The 20,230-nt window shown below is 55.2% G+C and overlaps 1 protein-coding gene across 5 annotated transcripts in view, besides 5 other annotated features; it reads right to left on the bottom strand.

Moving 5' to 3' along the window:
- The window catches only part of PRR5 (proline rich 5), a 68,931-nt gene that overhangs the window by 41,209 nt on the left and 7,492 nt on the right, over positions 1-20,230 (bottom strand). For 2 of the 5 annotated variants that reach the window (NM_015366.4, NM_001017530.2), the window contains exon 1: positions 19,233-19,388. The exons of 2 other annotated variants lie outside the window; for them this stretch is intronic. Coding sequence is in view for 1 of the 3 variants with exons in the window: in NM_001198721.2 (NP_001185650.1) it covers positions 16,588-16,673 (86 nt within the window). In the remaining 2 variants the exon portion in view is untranslated. Of the gene's footprint in view, positions 1-16,587; positions 17,127-19,232; positions 19,389-20,230 lie in introns of those variants that run through there. One more of the 5 variants, NM_001198721.2, reaches the window with a different exon arrangement.
- Positions 10,146-10,646: an enhancer, noted in NCBI's record as "H3K4me1 hESC enhancer chr22:45081707-45082207 (GRCh37/hg19 assembly coordinates)". NCBI's record gives its function as "activates a minimal SCP1, AML or CMV promoter by ChIP-STARR-seq in naive H9 embryonic stem cells {active_cell/tissue: H9 hESC(naive)}" and the evidence as "EXISTENCE:reporter gene assay evidence [ECO:0000049][PMID:30033119]".
- Positions 10,146-10,846: a biological region, named in NCBI's record as "H3K4me1 hESC enhancer GRCh37_chr22:45081707-45082207".
- Positions 10,527-10,846: an enhancer, noted in NCBI's record as "active region_19213". NCBI's record gives its function as "activates an Ori minimal core promoter by ATAC-STARR-seq in GM12878 lymphoblastoid cells {active_cell/tissue: GM12878}" and the evidence as "EXISTENCE:reporter gene assay evidence [ECO:0000049][PMID:35858748]".
- Positions 11,823-12,362: an enhancer, noted in NCBI's record as "H3K4me1 hESC enhancer chr22:45079991-45080530 (GRCh37/hg19 assembly coordinates)". NCBI's record gives its function as "activates a minimal SCP1, AML or CMV promoter by ChIP-STARR-seq in primed H9 embryonic stem cells {active_cell/tissue: H9 hESC(primed)}" and the evidence as "EXISTENCE:reporter gene assay evidence [ECO:0000049][PMID:30033119]".
- Positions 16,171-17,067: an enhancer, noted in NCBI's record as "H3K4me1 hESC enhancer chr22:45075286-45076182 (GRCh37/hg19 assembly coordinates)". NCBI's record gives its function as "activates a minimal SCP1, AML or CMV promoter by ChIP-STARR-seq in naive H9 embryonic stem cells {active_cell/tissue: H9 hESC(naive)}" and the evidence as "EXISTENCE:reporter gene assay evidence [ECO:0000049][PMID:30033119]".

The following is a 20,230-nucleotide window of genomic DNA, read 5'->3' as shown; positions in this document are numbered from 1 at the left end:
TGCATAAGATTCTCTCTCCAAGCCACCTTCCCACCTGTCAGCCAGGTCTTGAACACCAATCGGTTTCCAAAGTCTCTTCTGGGGCAGGTGTTTTATAACCTGATTCTAGTCTCTCAATAGGTGCCTCTGTGGTATAAGGAGGTGACTGTCCAAGCTCGAGGATGGCATTGCAGAGACAGGTTTTGGAATCTCCCAAACTGGGTCTGCCCTCAGCTCTGCCACCTCCTTTGTGTCAAAGTTGTCAGAATTGGCTGGACGCGGTGGCTCATGCCTGTTATGCCAGCACTTTGGGAGGCTGAGGCGGGTGGATCACCTGAGGTCAGGAATTCCAGACCAGCCTGGCCAACATGGTGAAACCCCATCTCTACTAAAAATACAAAAATTAGCCAAGTGTGGTGGTGTGTGCCTGTAATCCCAGCTACTCAGGAGGCTGAGGCAGGAAAATCACTTAAACCTGGGAGGTGGAGGTTTCAGTGACTGTGCCATTGCACTCCAGCCTGGGTGACAGAGAGGGACTCTGTATCAAAAAAAAAAAAAAAAAAAAAAAAAGTTGTCAGAATCAAAATGGAATCACTTGTGTTTAAAAAAACCCTGACAGGCTGGGCGCACTTTGGGAGACCGAGATGGGTGGATCACTTGAGGTCAGGGGTTCGAGACCAGCCTAGTCAACATGGTGAAACCCTGTCTCTACTAAAAATACAAAAAAATTAGCTGGGCATGTTGGTGTGCATCTGTAATCCCAGATACTGAGGAGGCTGAGGCAAGAGAATTGCTTGAACCCGGGAGGTAGAGGTTGCAGTAAGCCCAGACTGAGCCATTGCACTCCAGCCTGGGTGGCAGGAGCAAAACTCTGTCTCAAAACAAAAACAAAAACAAAAAACAAACAAACAAAACCCCCTGAGAAATAGAGCCAGGAAAGGCCATGAAGAGAGGCTTCTTATATAAAAATGCCTGATAACAAGAATGATCACAAAAGGCTCTAAAAAACCACAACCTTGCACAAAGGCCATAGCAATCACACACCAAAAATACCTCTGTGAGGACATCTGCTCAGCAACTGCCTGTCCAACCTCGGGCTGGTGCCACCCTTGTTATTGATCCTTGTAGCCAGGGACAATTATCTCAAAACAATTATGTAATCCTCCTCCTTTTTCCTTTAAAAACCTTTGTCTTTCTTTGTCCCTGAACATAACACATAGTTTAATATGGCATGCGAATTCCCATTGCAATGCCTGATTCCTGAAGAAATATGATTTTCTTGTAGACAGCCCCTCTCTCCTTCTTATTTTATTATTATTTTTTGAGACAGAGTCTTGCTCTGTCACCCAGGATGGAGTGCACTGGCACGATCTTGGCTCACTGCAACCTCTGCCTCCTGGGTTCAAGCGATTCTCTTGCCTCAGTCCCCTGAGTAGCTGGGATTACAGGTGCCTGCCACCACGCCTAGCTAATTTTTGTATTTTTAGTAGAGATGGGGTTTCATCGTGTCGGCCAGGCTGGTTTTGAACTCCGGACCTCAAGTGATCAGCCCGTCTCAGCCTCTCAAAGTGCTAGGATTACAGGTGTGAGTCACGGCACCTGGCCACTGCTTGTCATTTAGGTTGATAGCTGCAATACCTTCCCTGTCAAGCTTTAGTCTCTGTCCTTGGAGTGGGGAGATAAGACCACGTTCCTCCTGGGGTTAGTGAGCACTTATTATGGGCCAGCCATGGGGTATCCACCCTTGAATTCCATAGCACTCCAAGGCAGGCAGCTATTCCCATCATCCTAGTTTACAGGTGGGTTAGTTGGGGCTCTGAAAGGTTAGGTGACTTATCCTAGGTCACATGGCTGGGCCAGGATTCAAACTCAGGCAGGAGGGCAGGCTTCAGTGTGTCTTCCCTACACTAATGAGGACCATGCCTGTGTCTGCCAGCGACCCAGAACAGAGTGTCCGTGCATGGATGGAGTCTTGCTCTATTGCCCAGGCTGGAGTGCAGTGGCACGATCTCGGCTAACTACAACCTCCACCTCCCAGGTTCAAGTGATCCTCTTACCTCAACCTCCCGTGTAGCTGGGAGGCATGCACCACCACACCTGGATAATTTTTGTATTTTTAGTAGAGATGGGGTTTCACCATGTTGGCCAGGCTGGTCTCGAACTTCTGACCTCAAGTGATCCACCTGCCTTGGCTTCTCAAAGTCCTGGGATTACAGGCATGAGCCACCACACCTGGCCAGCAGTCACCTTTTCTTTAACCAACATTATGAGTAGAGTGTGGAGGCAGGGGATGGGCTGGGCCAGCACCACACAGGTGCCTGTCCCTCGAAGCTTCCTGTTCTGACAATGACGTGCTGGCCCTTCTTGGCCGTCCTTGGGTATTCAGACTGCTCAACTGCTGAATTGTGTCCTCCAAAGACACTGAAGTCCCAGCCCTTGGCACCTATGAATGTGACAGTATTCGGACAGATGGTGTTTGCAGATGTAATCAAATTGAGATGAGGTCATACTGGAGTAAGTGGGCCCTAAATCCAGTGACTGATGTCCTTATAAGAAGGCCATGTGGGCAGGGCGCAGTGGCTCATGCCTGTAATCTCAGCACTTTGGGAGGCTGAGGTGGGCGTATCATCGAGACCATACTGGCTAACACGGTGAAACCCTGTCTCTACTAAAAATACAAAAAAAAAAAAAAAAAAAATAGCCGAGTGTGGTGGCAGGCGCCTGTAGTCCCAGCTACTTGTAGGAGGCTGAGGCAGGAGAATGGCGTGAACCTGAGAGACAGAGCTTGCACTGAGCCGAGTGAGCCACTGAGCCTGCACTCCAGCCTAGGTGACACAGCAAGACTCCACCTCAGAAAAAAAAAAAAAAAAAAAAAAAGTCCATGTGAAATGTGAAGTCACAGAGATACAGAGACCCAGAGGAGAGGGCTGTGTGAGGATGGAAGCAGAGACTGGAGTGATGCGGCCCACAAGCCAAGGCACCCTTGGAGTCACCAGAAGCTGAAGGATTCTTGGCTCTGCTGACACTTTTTTTTTGAGACAGGGTCTTGCTCTGTCACCCAGGCTGAAGTGCAGTGGTGTGATCATGACTCACTGCAGCCTTGACCTCCTGGGCTCAGGCGATCCTCCCACAGCCTCCCTGGTAGCTAGGACTACAGGCACACGCCACCACACCTGACTAGTTTGTATTTTTGGTAGAGACAGGGTCTTTCTATGTTGCCAAGGCTGGTCTCGAACTCCTGGGATCAAGCAACCCAACCACCTTGGCCTCCCAGGACACCTTGATTTCAGACTTTCAGCCTCCAGAACTGTGAGAGAATGAGATTCTGTTATAAGCCACCTGGTTTATGGTCATTAGTTATGGCAGGCCCAGGACACAAATACGTTGCCTTTCCCCAAACAGAGCCCACTCCCTGCCAGGCTCTGGCTTTGACCTCCAGGAAACCCCATGTCCAGATGGGGAAAGGTCCCACCCTGACACTCAGCACACTGGAGACACCCTCATTCCCTCTAGCTCTGCTTTCTTTAGGGGAAAAACACAAACTCCTGGGGCCAGGAGGAGTAACCTCTGCAAAGGTATCCCAGCCTGGCAGCCTAACACCACCCAGCTGTGCCTGGCCCCGTGCTGAGAGCTCGTGCACTTCCGAACCTTCGTGTTTGCAGCCGCCCTGCCAGGCAGGCCCGGGGAACATCCCCGCTCTGCAGACCTGCAGACTGAGGCTCCTCAGGGCAGGCGGCAGAGCGGGACGGACTCCCGGGCTGCACTCCCAACCTGTATTCTTCCCAAGGCACCTTCTTGGCTGGCAGCCTTTTCTTAGAAGAATCTTGGATGGAAGGAATGCTGCTTGGGATGTCAGAGTTCACACTGCAATGTGAAGCCCTGCCTGACACTGCCCTGGGAGGAGGAGCCCCGGGAGGAGGAGCCCTGGGTGGAGGAGTGCCAGGTGGAGGAGCCCCCGGGAGGAGGAGCCCCCAGGAGGAGGAGTGCCAGGTGGAGGAGCCCTGGGAGGAGGAGCCCCCGGGAGGAAGAATTTCCCCCGGTGGAGGAGCCCCAGGAGGAGGAGCCCCCGGGAGGAGGAGGATCCCTGGGTGGAGGAGCTAAGGTGGAGGAGCCCCGGGAGGAGGAGCCCTGGGAGGAGGAGCCCCCAGGAGGAGCCCTGGGAGGAGGAGCCCCGGGAGGAGGAGCACCGAGAGGGGGAGCCCCTGGTGGAGGAGCGTGGGAGGAGGAGCCCCGGGAGGAGGAGCCCTGGGTGGAGGAGCGCCAGGTGGAGGAGCCCCTGGTGGAGGAGCGTGGGAGGAGGAGCCCCGGGTGGAGGAGCCCCGGGAGGAGGAGGAGACGGGTGTGGGCTTGGTGTAGGATTTGGGGGTGTGGGATCTGAGGGCTTAGGCAGTGCTTTTTCACTCGTTCTTTCATCGCTCCTCCAAACAGCCCTGGGAGGCAGGAATGACTATTCCCAGTCAGAAATTCCGGTCCAGCAGGGTAGGGAGGCAGGAAACAGCCCATCAAAACTTGGCCCGCGTTCCTGATGGCATCAATTGAGCCCACAGAGCCGACTGTGGAGGTGATGTCGGCTCCTCTGGACACTGGCAAGGCCCTGGCTTCCCTCGTGGAGGAGGGGCGTCCAACCAGGGTGGCAACCACCAGCCATGCCCCCACTTCTGCTACCAAGGAGTCCTCATCTGGAAAAAACTTGGTGGATTTCAGTGTCTTTTTTTTTTTGAGATGGAGTCTTGCTCCCGTCGCGCAGGCTGGAATGCAGTGGTGCAATCTCGGCTCACTGCAGCCTCTACCTCCCAGGTTCAAGCGATTCTCCTTCCTCAGCCTCCTGAGTAGCTGCGATTACAGGCGTGCACCACCACGCCTGGCTAGTTTTTGTGTTTTTAGTAGAGACGGGGTTTTGCCATGTTGGCCAGGCTGGTCTTGAACTCCTGACCTCAGGTGATCTACCCGCCTCGGCCTCCCAAACTGCTCGGCCTCCCAAACTGCAGGGGCGCTGGAGGGGCCCCAACTCTTCACAGGGGCAGGAGGAGTCAGCTCCAGGCGTGCCAGGGGCACTGAGTCTAGGGCAGGGTCCCCACCGCTGAGTACATGCTGTGCCCAGCGCGGGCCACGGCCTCCCCACCACAACCCCTCCAGCTGGGTAGCCTCCTCTCCGTGCCACCGAGGTGGACATGGAGGTTCTGAGTCCTGACGTCACCTGCAGGGTCACAGGCTGGTGAGGGGCAGGGCCAGGACCAACCTCAGAATCCCCATTCCAGACCCCGGTTTTCTCTACCCAAATCCTCCCGGAAGCAGCCCAGATCTTCCTACCTGAAGCCTGGGCTCACCGTTCCTCTGCCCTCTTTCTCAGCCCCTGCCCACAGCCTGCCCACCCCCTCCACCACACAGCCCTCGGGGGCTCAGGACTCTCCTGCCTCCCCGCCCCGGGAATCCACCTTCCCGAGGCTGCCAGCACGTTCACTTGGGCACCCAGGATGCCTCTGCCCTGGCTGCTCAGAGGCTCTGGATGAGGCCCTCTGCCTGCAGGATAAATTCCAGGTTTCCAAGCCTGGCATCCAAGACCCTCCAGTCTGAGCACAGTCTTCCACTCCTTCCAATTCTGCTTCGTCTCCCGCCACGCCCTGCCAGGCCCCTCTCCCGCCACCCCCCGAACCAGGAGACAAAGTGCCCACTTGTTGCCTGGAAGATCTGGGCCTTTACCCAGGCTCTGCCCTCTGCCTGGGGTGCCCTGCTCCTCATCCTCCGGCTGGGTTATTTTTTCAGTGATAATAATAATAATAACAGTGGGTAGTAAAGTGCGATTCAGAGCATGGGCTGTGCAGCCAGAGGATCGCGGCTTCACCACTTAATAGATGTCGACCTCGGGCTGATTCCCTCTGCTTGACTGTGCCTCAGTTTCCCCATCTGTGAAATGAGAATCCTCATCACATCTCCCTCCCTGGGTAACCACAGGCTCTAAACGTATTCACAGCTGCAGGTGCTCACTCAGCCTTGGCCGTGACAGTGAGCGGGGCTGCCTCTTCCTCCAAGGTGGCCTCTGGCCCTGCCATGCCCTCTGTCAGGTTCCCCCCAACCCCACCATGGAATCCTTTCTCTCCTTTACCCAACTTAGCCAACAGTCCCTGGCCCTCCTCCCTCCCCCTGCCTTGTGTCAGGGTCTCAGACTGTGCTTGTCTCCTCCATCAGACTGGGTGCTCAGGTCAACGTTCAGGCACAGGTCAACACCCAGTGGACATTCACCTGCCCACACAGAGCTGGGGATCCCTGATCCGGTGCTTCCTCTCCTGGGGGCTCTGTCTGCCCACAGGGTCTTCTCTCTCCCTCCTGGCCTTCTGGTCACCTGCCCCCGCATCCCTGACTTCTGCAGCCTGCCCCCTCCCACATCCTCCTTGGGCCCCAGTGCTCAGGTGCCGCTTCCCTCCTCTGTAAGCTCAGTCTCACCTTCTCCTGTCAGACCCGTGCTGCCCCCTCCCTCTGGACCACAAAACCACCTTTGGCCAGCAGTGCCTTCTCCTGTTCCCTTTTAGAGCAAAACTCTGGAATGAGGCCGGGTATGATGGCTCACGCCTGTAATCCCAGCACTTTGGGAAGCCGAGGCGGGCAGATCACTTGAGGTCAGGAGTTCGAGACCAGCCTGACCAACATGGTGAAACCCCATCTCTACTAAAAATACAAAAATTAGCCAGGCGTGGTGGCGGGCGCCTGTAGTCCCAGCTACTCGGAAGGCTGAGATGGGAGAATTGCTTGAACTCAGGAGGTGGAGGTTGCAGTGAGCCGAGATCACGCCACTGCACTCCAGCCTGGGTGATAGAGCGAGACTCCGTCTCAAAACAAAACAAAACAAAACTCTGAGATGAGCTCCTGTCCCCACCACTTTTCCATGGCCCTTCTGCCCAGGCCACAGGTGACTTCCATGGTGCGCAATCCAATGGTCAAGTCCCAGCCTACACGGAGCTCAGTCCTTGAACACACTTGGTCCCTAAAGGGAGGCTACTTAGAGCCTTTGTTTACCCTCTTCGGGTAATCTGGCTACAGAAACTCTCGTAGCTGTGGTTCCCACTTGCCGCCCAGATGCCCAGGGGTCATCCCATAGGAATTTCCAAGCCACATCTGGCCCTGGGGGTGTCTGATAAGGGATGAAAGATGTGTACAGATGGGAAGATGAGTCACCAAGCTGGTAGGTGGCTAAGCTGGATTCCTCGGAACTCCAAAGACGACCCGTGAGTTAGCAGACTAACTGGACGCAGGTGGGCAGGATCCGGTAAGGTCCCCGTAAGAAATGGTAATAAATGGGAGGGTTATTATTATATTGTCTTCATCACATGAAGATCAAGAAGCTGGGCAATTTAGAGAACGAGAAAACCTAAAAATTCCCTCCCTGCCTGTGTCCTAGAAATGTTAGATAAAAAATTACAAACATCTTCTATGATCGAGCTTGTAAAAAAGTGTGGAAAATCAGGGGCCAGCATGATAATATTACAATTCTCCTTAAGATATATTTATATTATAACACATAAGATATAAGATGTAATAGCTGGAGTGCGGTGGAGTGATCTCGGCTCACTGCAACCTCCACCTCCCGAATTCAAGCCAGTCTCCTGCTTCAGCCTCCCGAGTAGCTGGGATCACAGGCGTGCACCACCATGCCCGGCTAATTTTTGTATTTTTAGGAGAGACAGGGTTTCACCATGTGGGCCAGGCTGGTCTCGAACTCCTGACCTCAAGTGATCCGCCTGCCTCGGCCTCCCAAAATGCTGGAATTACAGGCGTGAGCCACACTGCACCTGGCCATATATAGGATGTAATAGCACATTTAATACTGACATTACTGAAGGCCAGCATAGTGCTTGAAGTACGCAGTTACACATATGGAGTGACAGCCTCCCTGCCTTCATGGATCAAGCCCTCTAGCCTGGCAGCAACCCCATATGGTAGACTGTTGCTGCCCCCCATTTCACAGATGAAGAAACTGAGCCCCCTCCTTGCCGATGGAGCTGGGTTCCAAGCCTAAGCAGTCTGGTCATAGCGTCCGTGTTCTTAACTATTATGCTCTACTAGTTGCACTCTAACTAGTATAATAGTAACATTGCAGGAAATATTTTTTTCTTTTGAGACGAAGTCTCGCTCTGTAGCCCAGGCTGGAATGCAGTGGTGCGATCACAGCTCACTGCAACCTCCGCCTCCCAGGTTCAAGCGATTCTCCTGCCTCAGCCTCCCCAGTACCTGGGACTACAGGGGTGCACCACCACACCCGGCTAATTTTTGTATTTTTAGTAGAGACGGGGTTTCACCTTGTTGGCCAGGCTGGTCTCAAACTCCTGACTTCAAGTGATACGCCTGCCTCAGCCTCCCAAAGTGTTGGTATTACAGGTGTGAGCCACTGCACCCGGCTAGGAAAATGTTTTAAACTAGAAACTCAGGCCGGGTGCGGTGGCTCACGCCTGTAATCCCAGCACTTTGGGAGGCCAGGGCGGGCAGATCACCTGAGGTCAGGAGTTCGAGACCAGCCTGACCAACAGGGTGAAACCCCGTCTCTACTAAAAATACAAAAATTAGCCAGGTGTGGTGGTGGACGCCTGTAGTCCCAGCTACTCGGGGGGCTGAGACAGGAGAATCGCTTGAACCCGGGAGGCGGAGGTTGCAGTGAGCCGAGATCGCGCCAATGCACTCCAGCCTGGGCGACGGAGTGAGACTCCATCTCAAAACAAAACAAAACACAACCTCAGACATTAAGTGAAAGTGTGGCAGCCTTGTGGGGGTGGAGAGAGGGTGTTGAGACGGAGGGTTTATTAAACTGTGATAGCAGCCAGGAGACCAGGCGCGGAGCAAGCAGGATGCTGGGAGGTGAAACTGAATTCTCCACAGAACACCAGAGGGCTTGAGGAGCTGCAACCTTAATAAAATGTAGCCTAGAAAAAGATCTACCCACTGACAATAAGAGATGACAAGAAAACTTGTCTGACTCCTCCTGAGCTTGAGGTAGGAAAAAGTGTGCAGTTCTCCTGAGGGACTCTAGCCATGGGTCTGCTCTAGCCTGGGATTAGGTTTGTATTTATAAAGCCTAACCCAACCGATGAGAAAGTGGCCCCAGGCCTGTGACAGCCGTAGGCTGCTTGGGAGAGCAATTATAAAACGCTCTGGATAGGGAAATCATCATTAACAATAATTTATCATATATTTCAAAGTAGCTAGAAGAATTGTAATGTTCCAAATGCAAAGACAATATAGATGTTTGAAGCGATGGGTTTCCCGATTACCCGGATTTGATCAAACACATTGTGTACAGGGGTCAAAATATCACACATACCCCAAAAGTATGTACAAGTGTTCTATATCAGCAACAATAAACAATGCTCTGGGAGGCATGCCCACGAGCTGGGATTCTCACAGATAAAGCCCTTGCTGGAGATAAACTCATGATCCCAAATTACACAACACACAGAAACAGACCAGCCTGAGGGAGGGACAAGCAAACACCACACATACCAGAAGGAAATTCCCGAGAAACCATTGGAGGAGACTGTAAAATTAAATTTGCCTCACATAATTAAAGATGTAAAAGAAGGAATCAAATATCGTATTTGCCGGGTGTGGTAGTTCATGCCTGTAATCCCAGCATTTTGGGAGGTCGAGGTGGGCAGATCATGAGATCAGGAGTTCAAGACCTGCCTGGCCAGCATGGCAAAACCCAGTCTCTATTAAAAATACAAAAATTACTTTGGGAGGCCAAGGCAGGCGGATCATGAAGTCAGGAGTTCAAGACCAGCCTGACCAACATTGTGAAACCCCATCTCTACTAAAAATACAAAAATTAGCTGGGCGTGGTGGTGTACACCTGTAATCCCAGCTACTCAGGAGGCTGAGGCAGGAGAATCGCTTGAAGCTGGGAGGTGGAGGTTGCAGTGAGTGAGCCAAGATCGAGCCACTGCACTCTAGCCTGGGCGACAGAGCGAGACTCCATCTCAAAACAAAACAAACAAATAAAAAAAATTAGCCAGGCGTGGTGGCACATACCTGTAATCCCAGCTACTCGGGAGGCTGAGGCAGGAGAAGCTTTTGATCCCGGGAGGCACACGTTGCAGTGAGCCGAGTTAATGCCACTGCACCCCAGCCTGGGCGACAGAGCGAGTCCCTGTCTCAAAAAAATCAACAACAACAACAACAACAAAAACACAAGAATAGAACAAGATGTTGTGAAAGCCAGGTGCCCAATAGGGGAACTTCTTTTTCTTTTCTTTTTGTTTTGAGACAGTCTCACTCTGTCGCCCAGGCTGGAGTGCAGTGGTGCGATCTCAGCTCACTGCAACCTCTCTCTCCTGGGTTCAAGGATTCTTGTGCCTCAGCCTCCAAGTAGCTGAGATTACAGGTGTGTGTTACCACACCTGGCTAATGTTTGTACTTTTAGTAGAAACGGGGTTTCACCATGTTGGCCAGCCTGCTCTCACTCCTGACCTCAGGGGATTTGCCTGCCTTGGCCTCCCAGAGTGCTGGGATTACAGACGTGAGCCACCATGCCGGGCCCCAATAGGGGAACTTCTGATGTGTGGCATCATCACGGTGCTCCCCCAGGGAGAAAGGATGGTACCACGGAAGCCAGGGCCCTGGGCACAGGGCCTGCAAGTGGAACCATCTTTCTGGGCACTATCTGGGTTAGAAGGGGACAAAGTTAGGCGGAAGGGGCATCACGTATCTCGGCTTTGATTCCAGCCCCACCCTTGGTGCTTGGGATTCTGTGTAGAAGTTCTGAGCAACTCCAGCATGTGCCTGGGCATGTCTGAGAGGGTGTCAGGCACCACAGCCCACGCCTGGCAGAGTCACGGTGGCTGTGAGTGTGCCTTTCACTGGGGAGAGCTTGTGGCTTTCACTGGGGAGAGGGGTGTGGCTTTCACTGGGGAGAGGGTGTGGCTTTCACTGGGGAGAGGGGTGTGGCTTTCACTGGCGAGAGGGGTGTGGCTTTCACTGGCTTCTCTGAAAGCGCAAGGCTCCCACCTTAAGGAGAAACTGAGGGATAAGCATGGCCCTTCTCTATGGAGCATCCACAGATTTGGGGTGGAGGAGGGAAAACATTTTTCTGATTAAATACACATGGCTCTATTCCAGACAGAGGAGAAATCGTTTTTTGTTTGTTTGTTTTGAGATGGGGTCTTGCTCTGTCCATTCTAGTCTCCACTGTCCATTTTACAGATGGTGAGACTGAGGCCTTGCACAGGAGTGGGATATGTAGGGTCACCAGCAGAGCAGGACTGTCCCAGTGCATGGGGTAAAGGACACATGCTCACTCACGGAGGCCCTACTGGGTGCTGGCACTGCGTACCCATCTACCCTCCGACCTGGGGCAGACCTACAGGCCAGAATTTCCACCCACATTTTTCAGAAGAGGAACCAGAGGCTCCGAGGGAAAGCTGACTTGCCCGGGTTGTAGGGTGAGTGAGTGGAAGGGCTGAAATCAGAGCCCAGCTGTGACTCTGGAGCTACACGCTTCCCACGGTCAGTAACCCCAGCGGCCACCAGGAGCGCCTACTTCGTGCCGGGCCCTGAGTCCCGGGCTGCCACTTCCCTTCCCCTGAGAGCCACAAGAGGGCAGTAAAGGGAGGCTCCAGAATCCCCAGGAGGGAGGACGCCTGAGCCTCCAGAGATGACATTTCACCAGGGCCTGGAAGGATGACCTCACCCAGCACGGCCAAGTGGAGCACAGACCAGAGCGACAGGAAGGGGCTGCTCCCCTACTGTGGACGCTGACATCAGCCCGGCCCTGTGCTCTGCACCCACACCCGCTGTCTGCCCCTAACCTCACAACAGTGCCCTGGGCAGAGAGCTGGGGGCGGGTGCAAGCTGGGCAACACCAGGCAGCACAGGCAGTTGGACCGCGGGTAGGAGGTGACCCTCAGGCATCCTGACCCTGGTCCCCAGTGCTCTTTGCCCCTTCCCCATCATCCCCAGGACATTTTCTTTTGAGTCTCGCTCTGTTGCCCAGGCTGGAGTACAATGGCGCGATCTCGGCTCACTGCAACCTCCACCTCCCAGGTTCAAGTGATTTTCCTGCTTCAGCCTCCTGAGTAGCTGGAACTACTCAGCTGCCGCCACCACGCCCAGCTAATTTTTGTATTTTTTTTGGTAGAGACAGGGTTTCACCATGTTGGCCAGGCTGGTCTTGAACTCCTGACCTCAGGTGATCCACCTACCTCGGCCTCCCAAAGTGCCGGGATTACAGGTATAAGCCACCGCGCCTGGCCATCACCAGCACATTTTCTACCACTCTCGAGGCTGGATCAGACTGGCTTCCAGCTCCTGGCCTCACTGGGCTCACAGCTCAGGCTCTGTGGGCACTGGGGTGGGGGCTGGGGTGGCCACAGGTGGCTTGTTTAACTGAAAAGCCCCAGGCCCCTCCTCAGCCCACCCCTCTGGCCCGGGCCCTCCTGGACCCTCAATCAATTCTGGAAGTCCTGGTTTCGACACCCCCACCCAGTCCGGGGGACACACCCTACCTGTCGCTGCAGTCAAAGCCAATGAAACCAACCCCTGCGAGGGGCCCAGCCCCTGTTCCTGGGCTAGGGCTTCTGACAAAGGATTGGGCTGGCCCCTCTTCAGCCATCCATGAACCCTATCAAGGATGACAGGGGTGGACACAGTTGTTCATCCGTGGAAGCTGCTTCCATTCCCCGGGTGGCTCGCGAGTAGGCTTCTCATCTTACTGATGGGGAGACTGAGGCTTAGGATGTAGCTAATGAGCCATGGGGAGGAGAGAGGGGGTGACTCTGCAGCCAGGGCTTGGGACCCCAGAGGGACTGGATCTGAGGCCAATCAGAGGACCTGATTCAGAGGTCCCCAAGGGTCTATGAGTTGCCCTTTGTTGGGGCCTAAGGCAGGGTGGCCTGGGAGGGTGGACACAGTCTCCTGGCTGGCTCCCCCCAGCCCCTGCCCTCCTTCGGGGTGCTGGGCGTGGGAGGAAGGCTTTGCCCAGCCACCTGGCCCTGGCCCCAAGGGGGCTCCTCATTCAGATCTTCTCGGCAGTTTCTGGTTTTGAGTAACCTAGGTCTGGGCCCTCTGTCTTGTGGTTCTGGGTGTGGGTGGCAGATGGGGTGGGGGCCAAGGCAAGAAGCCTCTTCCTCAGGAGCTGGGGCTGCCAGGTGGCCCTCAAGGTGGGTGGCTATCTCGACTACAAACTCTGTCGCTCCCCAAGCACTGGCTTGGCCCACTTGGATTTCCCCAGACTCAAGGGGCAGATGACAGGAAGGGGCTCTCCAGGGCTTCACTGCAGGGATAAGGCCAGAGGGTGGCCATGCAGTTAGAAGCTCCCAGCTTCTTGCAGGCAGCCTGAGCAATCAGCTCCCAGGGTCTGAGAGGAGAGGCAGGGGACCCAGGGGCCTCCTTGAAACCTCCTGAGTGAATGGGAGCAGAGGCCAGCTTCCTGGTGGAAGGCTCTGTCCTTGGAAGTCAGGCTCAGTTCATGTCCACATGCTCACCCTTCACTTATTTTGGGATGATCTTCCCTTAAGCCTGGTCTGGTTGGCCAACTCCTATTCATCCTGCAAAACCCTTCTTGGAGTAACCTAATCCACCAAAGTCTTCTCTGTAGCCCTGCCCCACCACACACACATCTGCGTTTAGAGGACAGTACTGTCCAGACCTCCCGCTACAGTGGGCACATTCCCTAGTGGGCTCAGAGAGGCCTTGGGCGGCCCTGCAGAATGAGAGCGGCAATTTCCTTAGGTGACTCCTGTAATTATAACATGGCTTAGCAGCTACTCAGCTCTGGCCACACGCCAGGTACCATGATTGTCTCTGCGACATTCCCGTGTCGAGAGAGCCATCTGCAGCCTCCTTTTAACTCAAGTGTTTCTTGAGAACCTCCTATGGGCCAGGCCTGAGCTAAGTGCCGGATTCAAATCTGACCTTGGCCAAATCAGTCACCCCGTGCCGGCCTCCATGTCTTCACCAGGCTTTCATAATTGCTCTGTGAGAAGGCAGAGTGTGAGGCGCAGGGGGTCTTCATTTCACCTATGGGCACAGAGAGGCCAGCGGGGACATGGTGGAATCCAGAGCCCAGCACCAGAGGCTATGTCCAGGCAGCTGACAGCCACGGTGGAAGGTGGATGAAGAGCTCTGGCTGGGGCCTGGATGGGCCTCCTCCCCATCCCCTTCCTCCTCCCCCCATTCTCTCCACCGTCTGCCTATGGCATCCCCTGTATTAGAGTACACGTAAGGAGGAAATTCACCTGAGCTCAGTGACCGTGACACTGCCTTCCCATAATCTGCCCGGCACTGTGGCCAGAGGCCTCCCTGGAGGGTCCTCTCAGCTTTGGGGCCAGCAGAGCAAGGGAGTGTGGCTAACCTTGACCCTAGCATGCAGGCCTCCCTGCCTCATTGGGCTGGCTCCTCTCCTGAGGACATCTCAGCTCTGCTGGCCACGCCCCTTGTAACTCAGTGGGCCAGTGGTGAGGCAGGTCCATGGCCGCGTGGAGCAGGTTCCCTCTGTGCTGTCTCCCAGGCCCTGCAGATTCCTACTGTTGCCGGCTCCTCCCTCCAGCCACTGTGCTCTCAGGCCACGGCTCTGGCCACAGCATCCCTTCCACATTGGCCTCCCTGTGGCTGGGCTTCCTCCTCCTGCCTGCCCTCCAGGCTGTGGCCACAGGGACCTCTGAACAGGGCAGTTTGCCCACATCATCTCCTGCCTCAGCCCTCCGTGAGCCCCACAGCACCCTCTGCACAGCTACACAAGGCACAGGTGTCCCCCTGGGACTCAGTGGCTGCTCTTTCCCAGCAGGGCCCCTGGTCCCATAAGGCTGGAAAACACAGAGTCAAACAAAGTTCAACAGCCATCCTCGCCTCCCCAGAGCTGTGCCTGCACTGTCTGCTGGACTCTTCAAAAAGGGATGTTTCTCAGACTTTTTTTTTTTTTTTCTTTGAGACAAAGTCTTGCTCTTATTGCCCAGGCTGGAGTGCAGTGGTGCGATCTTGGCTCACTGCAACCTCTGCCTTCCGGTTTCAAGCGATTCTCCCGCCTCAGCTTCCTGAGTAGCTGGGATTACAGGCACCCACCATCATGCCCAGCTAATTTTTATATTTTTAGTAGAGACAGGGTTTCACCATGTTGGCCAGGCTGGTCTCAAACTGCTGACCTCATGATCTGCCCGCCTCGGCCTCCCAAAGTTCTGGGATTAGAGGCATAAGCCACTGCGCCTGGCCTCCCAAACTTTTTTTTTAACTAACATTTTGCAAAGCACTTCCCAGAGTTCCCAGGAACCCAGTCAAAGGAAGGCTGGCCCTCCGGGTGAACAGCCATCATCCTGCAGACTCCTACTATGTGGCAGGCATGTGCTGAGCCCTTCATGGGCTGGTGTCATTTGAGCCTCACACAGAGGCCAGGAGAGGAGGATCAGCACCTCAGCTCTGCAGATGCAGGGGCCGAGAGAGAAGAGACACAGGAACCACTGGCAGCACAGTAGGGTGAGGAAGGCAGAGCCGCTGCCGTGCTAGTCTGGCAGACAATCGTGGCCCTGGAATGCCAGGGTCCAGTGAGAGCTGCATGATGGATGCATGAATGTGGAGACCACATTGTAGTCCGACCCTGCTCTGTCCGGGTCCCGCAGCCTGTGCCCCAGGTCTGCCCTGCCCTGCCCCAGGTTCTCAAATCCCACCTTGGCTCCTTCCTCTGTCACACACTGCCACCACTGTGTCACCTTGAGTTCTTGGGGACTCTGAGCCTCTAGGCAGGCAGCTAGGCTCTGGCAGGGAGCCAGGAACCTGCCCTGGTGTGTGTGGGGGGGTCTCAGGCCAGATGTCCGTCCCCTACTCTCCCAACCAGGGGATCTGCAGCTCAGAGAGACGTCCCAGCCCACCTGCTGTGGTGGGCAGGCATGGGAAGATGCAGCAGCTTCCATGGGAAAGTCGGGCACCCAGGGTGGGGAGGACAAAGGCTGGCGAGTCCTGCTGTGGGACCTCCATGGAGGCAGCGCTGCCACTGCTGCGGCTCTGGGATGCCCACCTCCTCGCTGGGCTGTGGCAGGACCCCTTGCTGCCCCACCAGGCAGGGACCAGCCCTCCTGTTAGGTTCAGATGCTCACTTCTGTCCCCATCCCCCATCCTTCCCCATCCCCCCTTTCCTTCCACTAAACGTGCACTTTAGGGTGGGGGAGGGACATGCCATTCCAGGAGCTGGACCAGCATTTTCTATACATCCTCACAGGAAGCCACGGGGCAGGTGCTCTTCTGCCCATTTCAAAGATGAAGTATCTGAGACTCAGAGAGGTACAGCAAACTGTCAAAAGTTGCACAGCTGGATAGTGGTGGAGCTGGGACTTGAACCCTGGACCCTGTGACCCTAAAGGGCCACATCAGTATCTGTGCCCTACGGCCCCGAGCACCCTCCATTCTGAGAAACGTTTGTTGAGTGAATAAAGTAGAAAGCCCCAAATCACAGCAGCTCCCAGGAGGGACTGACATCACTGCTCACCCCACCAAACACACTCACTCAGGCTGAGGTCCAGCCCTCATTCCCCGTGGGTCTCTCGCCGTCCTACTCACCTTTCCCTAAGCCTCCAGCCACACTGCACTCACCCTCACCCATACACCTGCCTCCCTCGTAGCCACCCTTCGGCACAGTGGCACCTGTACAAGCCCTCAGGCTGCGCCGGCATCTTTTCCGGGCTTCCCGAGCCCCAGGCTTCCCTCTGTGAAAGTTCCAAACACACCATGGCTCTATGTCTTCTGACCAGCCTGCCCCATCAGACTGAGTGTCCCAGAGCGGGGAGGCTGAGTCTTACTATTATTGTTATTATTATTATTTTGAGATGGAGTTTCGCTCTTGTTGCCCAGGCTGGAGTGCAATGGGGCGATCTCGGCTCACTGCAACCGCGCCTCCTGGGTTCAAGTGCTTCTCCTCCCTCAGCCTCCCGAGTAGCCGGGATTACAGGCATGCGCCACAATGCCTAGCTAATTTTTTTGTATTTTTAGTAGAGATGGGGTTTCTCCATGTTGGTCCGGCTGGTCTCAAACTCCTGACCTCAGGTGATCCACAAGCCTTGGCCTCCCAAGGTGCTGGGATTACAGGCATGAGTCACTGCGCCTGGCTGAGGCTGTGTCTTTGTGGCAGTTGCCCCCCAGTGTTACTGGGCTCTCAATGCACGCTCGAAGTCACTGAAGGGACTCTAAAAATTTGAAAAATACAAAAAGGATGGAAGAAGAAACAAACCACCAAAGAAATTACTGCTCCCCATCTCGGTACATTTCATTTAGGTCTTTTTTCTGTCTGTGTGTTTGTGGGACACCACTGTGAGCATCCTAAGAACACAAGCCTGCTCCTGCCTGCCTCCCTCGCATGAATAAATGCTGCGTTTGCAGAATGGACCTGGGGTGGCCGCACGTATCTCCTGAGGCCTAGGAGAGTGGGGAGTCACTCAGGGTCACTCAGCTACAAGGGGAGAGGCTCAGACCTGGAGGCCAGTGCTCCTGACCCCCCAAGGCACTGACTCCCATGGCAGTCTCTTTCAAGGCCCCAGAAATCTTAATTTTCCACTGTCCAGCTGACCATCCATCATCCCAGGCTTCCTCCTGTCCCCTAACGCAGGTGCCCTGATGTCTGTCGCTCACTCGTGCTCTCAATTCATCGAATGCTGCTGGGGTCCCACTCTGTGCCAGCCCCCAGCTGAGCCCTGGGACCCAGAGATGAATCACACAGAGCAGCCCCAGGCTGTCGGGGAGACCTGGGAACAGGGCAGAGAAGCTCTGTATGACAAGCGCTGGCCCAAAGGCATGAGCAGAGCCCAGGGTGAGATGGCACTGAGGGGGCCGTGGGTCCGCCTGGCCTGCGGTGAACAGGAGGCAGCCAGGAAGACTTTCTAGAGAAGGATGCCTTCCAGCAGCGGCTTAAAGAACTAGCAGGCAGGGCGCGGTGGCTCACACCTGTGATCCCAGCACTTTGGGGGGCAGAGGCGGGTGGATCACCTGAGGTCGGGAGTTCGAGACCAGCCTGGCCAACATGGTGAAACTCCATCTCCACTAAAAATACAAAAGTAAGCCAGGTGTGGTGGCGGGCGCCTGTAATCCCAGCTACTTGGGAGGCTGAGGCAGAAGAATTGCTGGAGGCAGAGGCTGCAGTGAGCCGAGATTGCGCCATCGCACTCCAGCCTGAACAAGAGTGAAACTCCATCTCAAAAAAAAAAAAAAAAAAGAGCCAGCAGAAGCCCAGCAGGTGAAGGACGACAAAAAAAAATCAGACTAGGCATAGGAACAGCAGGAGGAAGGCCCAGAGGAGAGAAGGCTGAGAGTGAGCAGGAACAGACTGCATGTCCGGGCAGGTGGTGAGCGGGTGCAACAAGGGCCCAGCCAGGACTGGGCATTGGAGATGACCCGACCATCCACAGGGTTCCCATCAAGAGCCCGCATGCAGCCCGCTCCCTCTCACAGCTGCTGCACGCGTGACTCTGGGTACCAGCACTTCCCTTCAGAACTCTAAGCACCTTAGGCAAAACTTCCACCTTAAAACCAGCTGGTCCTTGAGGCCCCCAGCACCAGCTCCCGGTTATTTCCTGGATGAGCCAATGCAAAGCCTGCCAGGGCCTCTCTGGAAACTGGAGCCGGTGCAAAGGATGATCCGTGCCCACAAGCTTTGGTGGATGTGAGGCCGTGAGAAAGAATAAGGACACAGGTGTGATCCTTGCTTGCTCAGAGAAAAAGCCAAGTTTATCCTGAATTCACAAATTAGAGACCGAGGCTCAGAGAGGTGAAGCAACCTGTCCAAGGTCACACAGCATGTGAGCAGGCCCAGGCACTGAGCCCACCCCTCTGACTCCCCTCACCGTGGCATAAGCTCCCCTAGGGAAGGTCCATCTGACATGTCCCCCGCTGGTCCCTGGAGCCTTGAGCGCTGGCCCGTGGCCAGGGCACCCAGAATGTTTTTTATGAATGAGTGAACAAAAGAATCTGAACCCCCTGCCCTTCGTCCCACCCCATGCAGCAGTAGGAAGAAGCCATCTGCTACTGTTTTTTGTTATTGCTGCTACTCTAAAAATCGAAAGCACAAACCCAAAGTCACAGCACTGTGTCACATCAGGGCGGACAGACACCCTAGTCCTGATTCAGGGCTGAAACGGAGTGGGGCTCCTCCGGGGCAGGGGCACACAGCAGGGTCTTGGACTCAGACAGACCAGGGCCAAACCTCTGCTCGGCCGCTAAGCTATGAGACCCGACACGCCGCACCCCCTCTCCACGCCCAGGCGTCCCCACCGCTAAAACCAGACGCAAAGAGTGCCTACCTTGCTGGGTGCCGAGAGGACTCAGGAGGTGGGATGCTGCCAGGGTGGGCACAGGTGGAATCCCAGCCCACGGGTCTCCTCTGCTCTGCGACCTTGGCTGAGGTCTGCACCCTCCTGGGGGTGAGCTCTGAAACCCTGCTCAGCACTAAGCACACTGGATGCCTGGCCTTGGGGGCAGCCGAATGGCTTACACATTAGGAGGCGTTCACATGGCCAAAGGGCAGAGGGGGCCCAGGAGCTTGAGGGCAGGCGGCTCACTGGGCTCCCCCATGACTCAGCAGAACTCAGGCTGCAGGCTCGGGTGGGAGCTGCCCCCGACTGCACCCTATGCAGGGAAGCCCAGCTGCTGGCTGATAAATATTTTATCACTGCTCACAGAGCAGTCCCCAGGAAGGCGCCTGCATCCTCCAAGCCCACAGAGCACCCCTTCCTGCCCGGACAGAAGGAACTGGCCAGGTCCAAGGTACAGGGTGGGGTCAGGAGCCCAGACAGCTCATTCCTGCCCTGCCGACTTCAGGTAAGCTCAGCACACGCCCCTGAGCCCCACCCACACTCCACTCTGCCCTATGTTGGGTGCTGGGCTCCGACTGCTATGCCCCTTGGACAGCCCCCCTCCTCCTCTTCACCCCGCCTAGAACACCAACCCTCTGCCTGTTGGCCCAGTCGAACCCCCCATCCTGCTGGCCCAGGGCCATTGCCGCCTCCTTTAGGAAGCATTCCTGGATCCTCCATTTCTGCTGTGTGACTGTGGGGAGGGCCATCACACTCTCTGAGCCAGTTTTTTCTTTTTTCTTTTCTTTTCTTCTCTTCTCTTTTCTTTCTTTCTTTTTTTTTTTTTTTTTTTTTTTTTGAGACAGGGTCTCACTGTGTTGCCCAGGCTGAAAAGCAGTGGCGCAATCACAGCTCACTGCAGCCTTGACCTCCCGGGCTCAGGTGATCCTCCCACCTCAGCCTCCCGAGTAGCTAAGACCACAAGTGCATGCCACCATGCCCGGCTG

The sequence above is a fragment of the Homo sapiens genome, chromosome 22 (assembly GCF_000001405.40).
Source record: "Homo sapiens chromosome 22, GRCh38.p14 Primary Assembly".
In the NCBI taxonomy this organism is placed as follows: Eukaryota; Metazoa; Chordata; class Mammalia; order Primates; family Hominidae; genus Homo; species Homo sapiens.
This window is presented reverse-complemented; position numbering and strand designations above follow the sequence as displayed.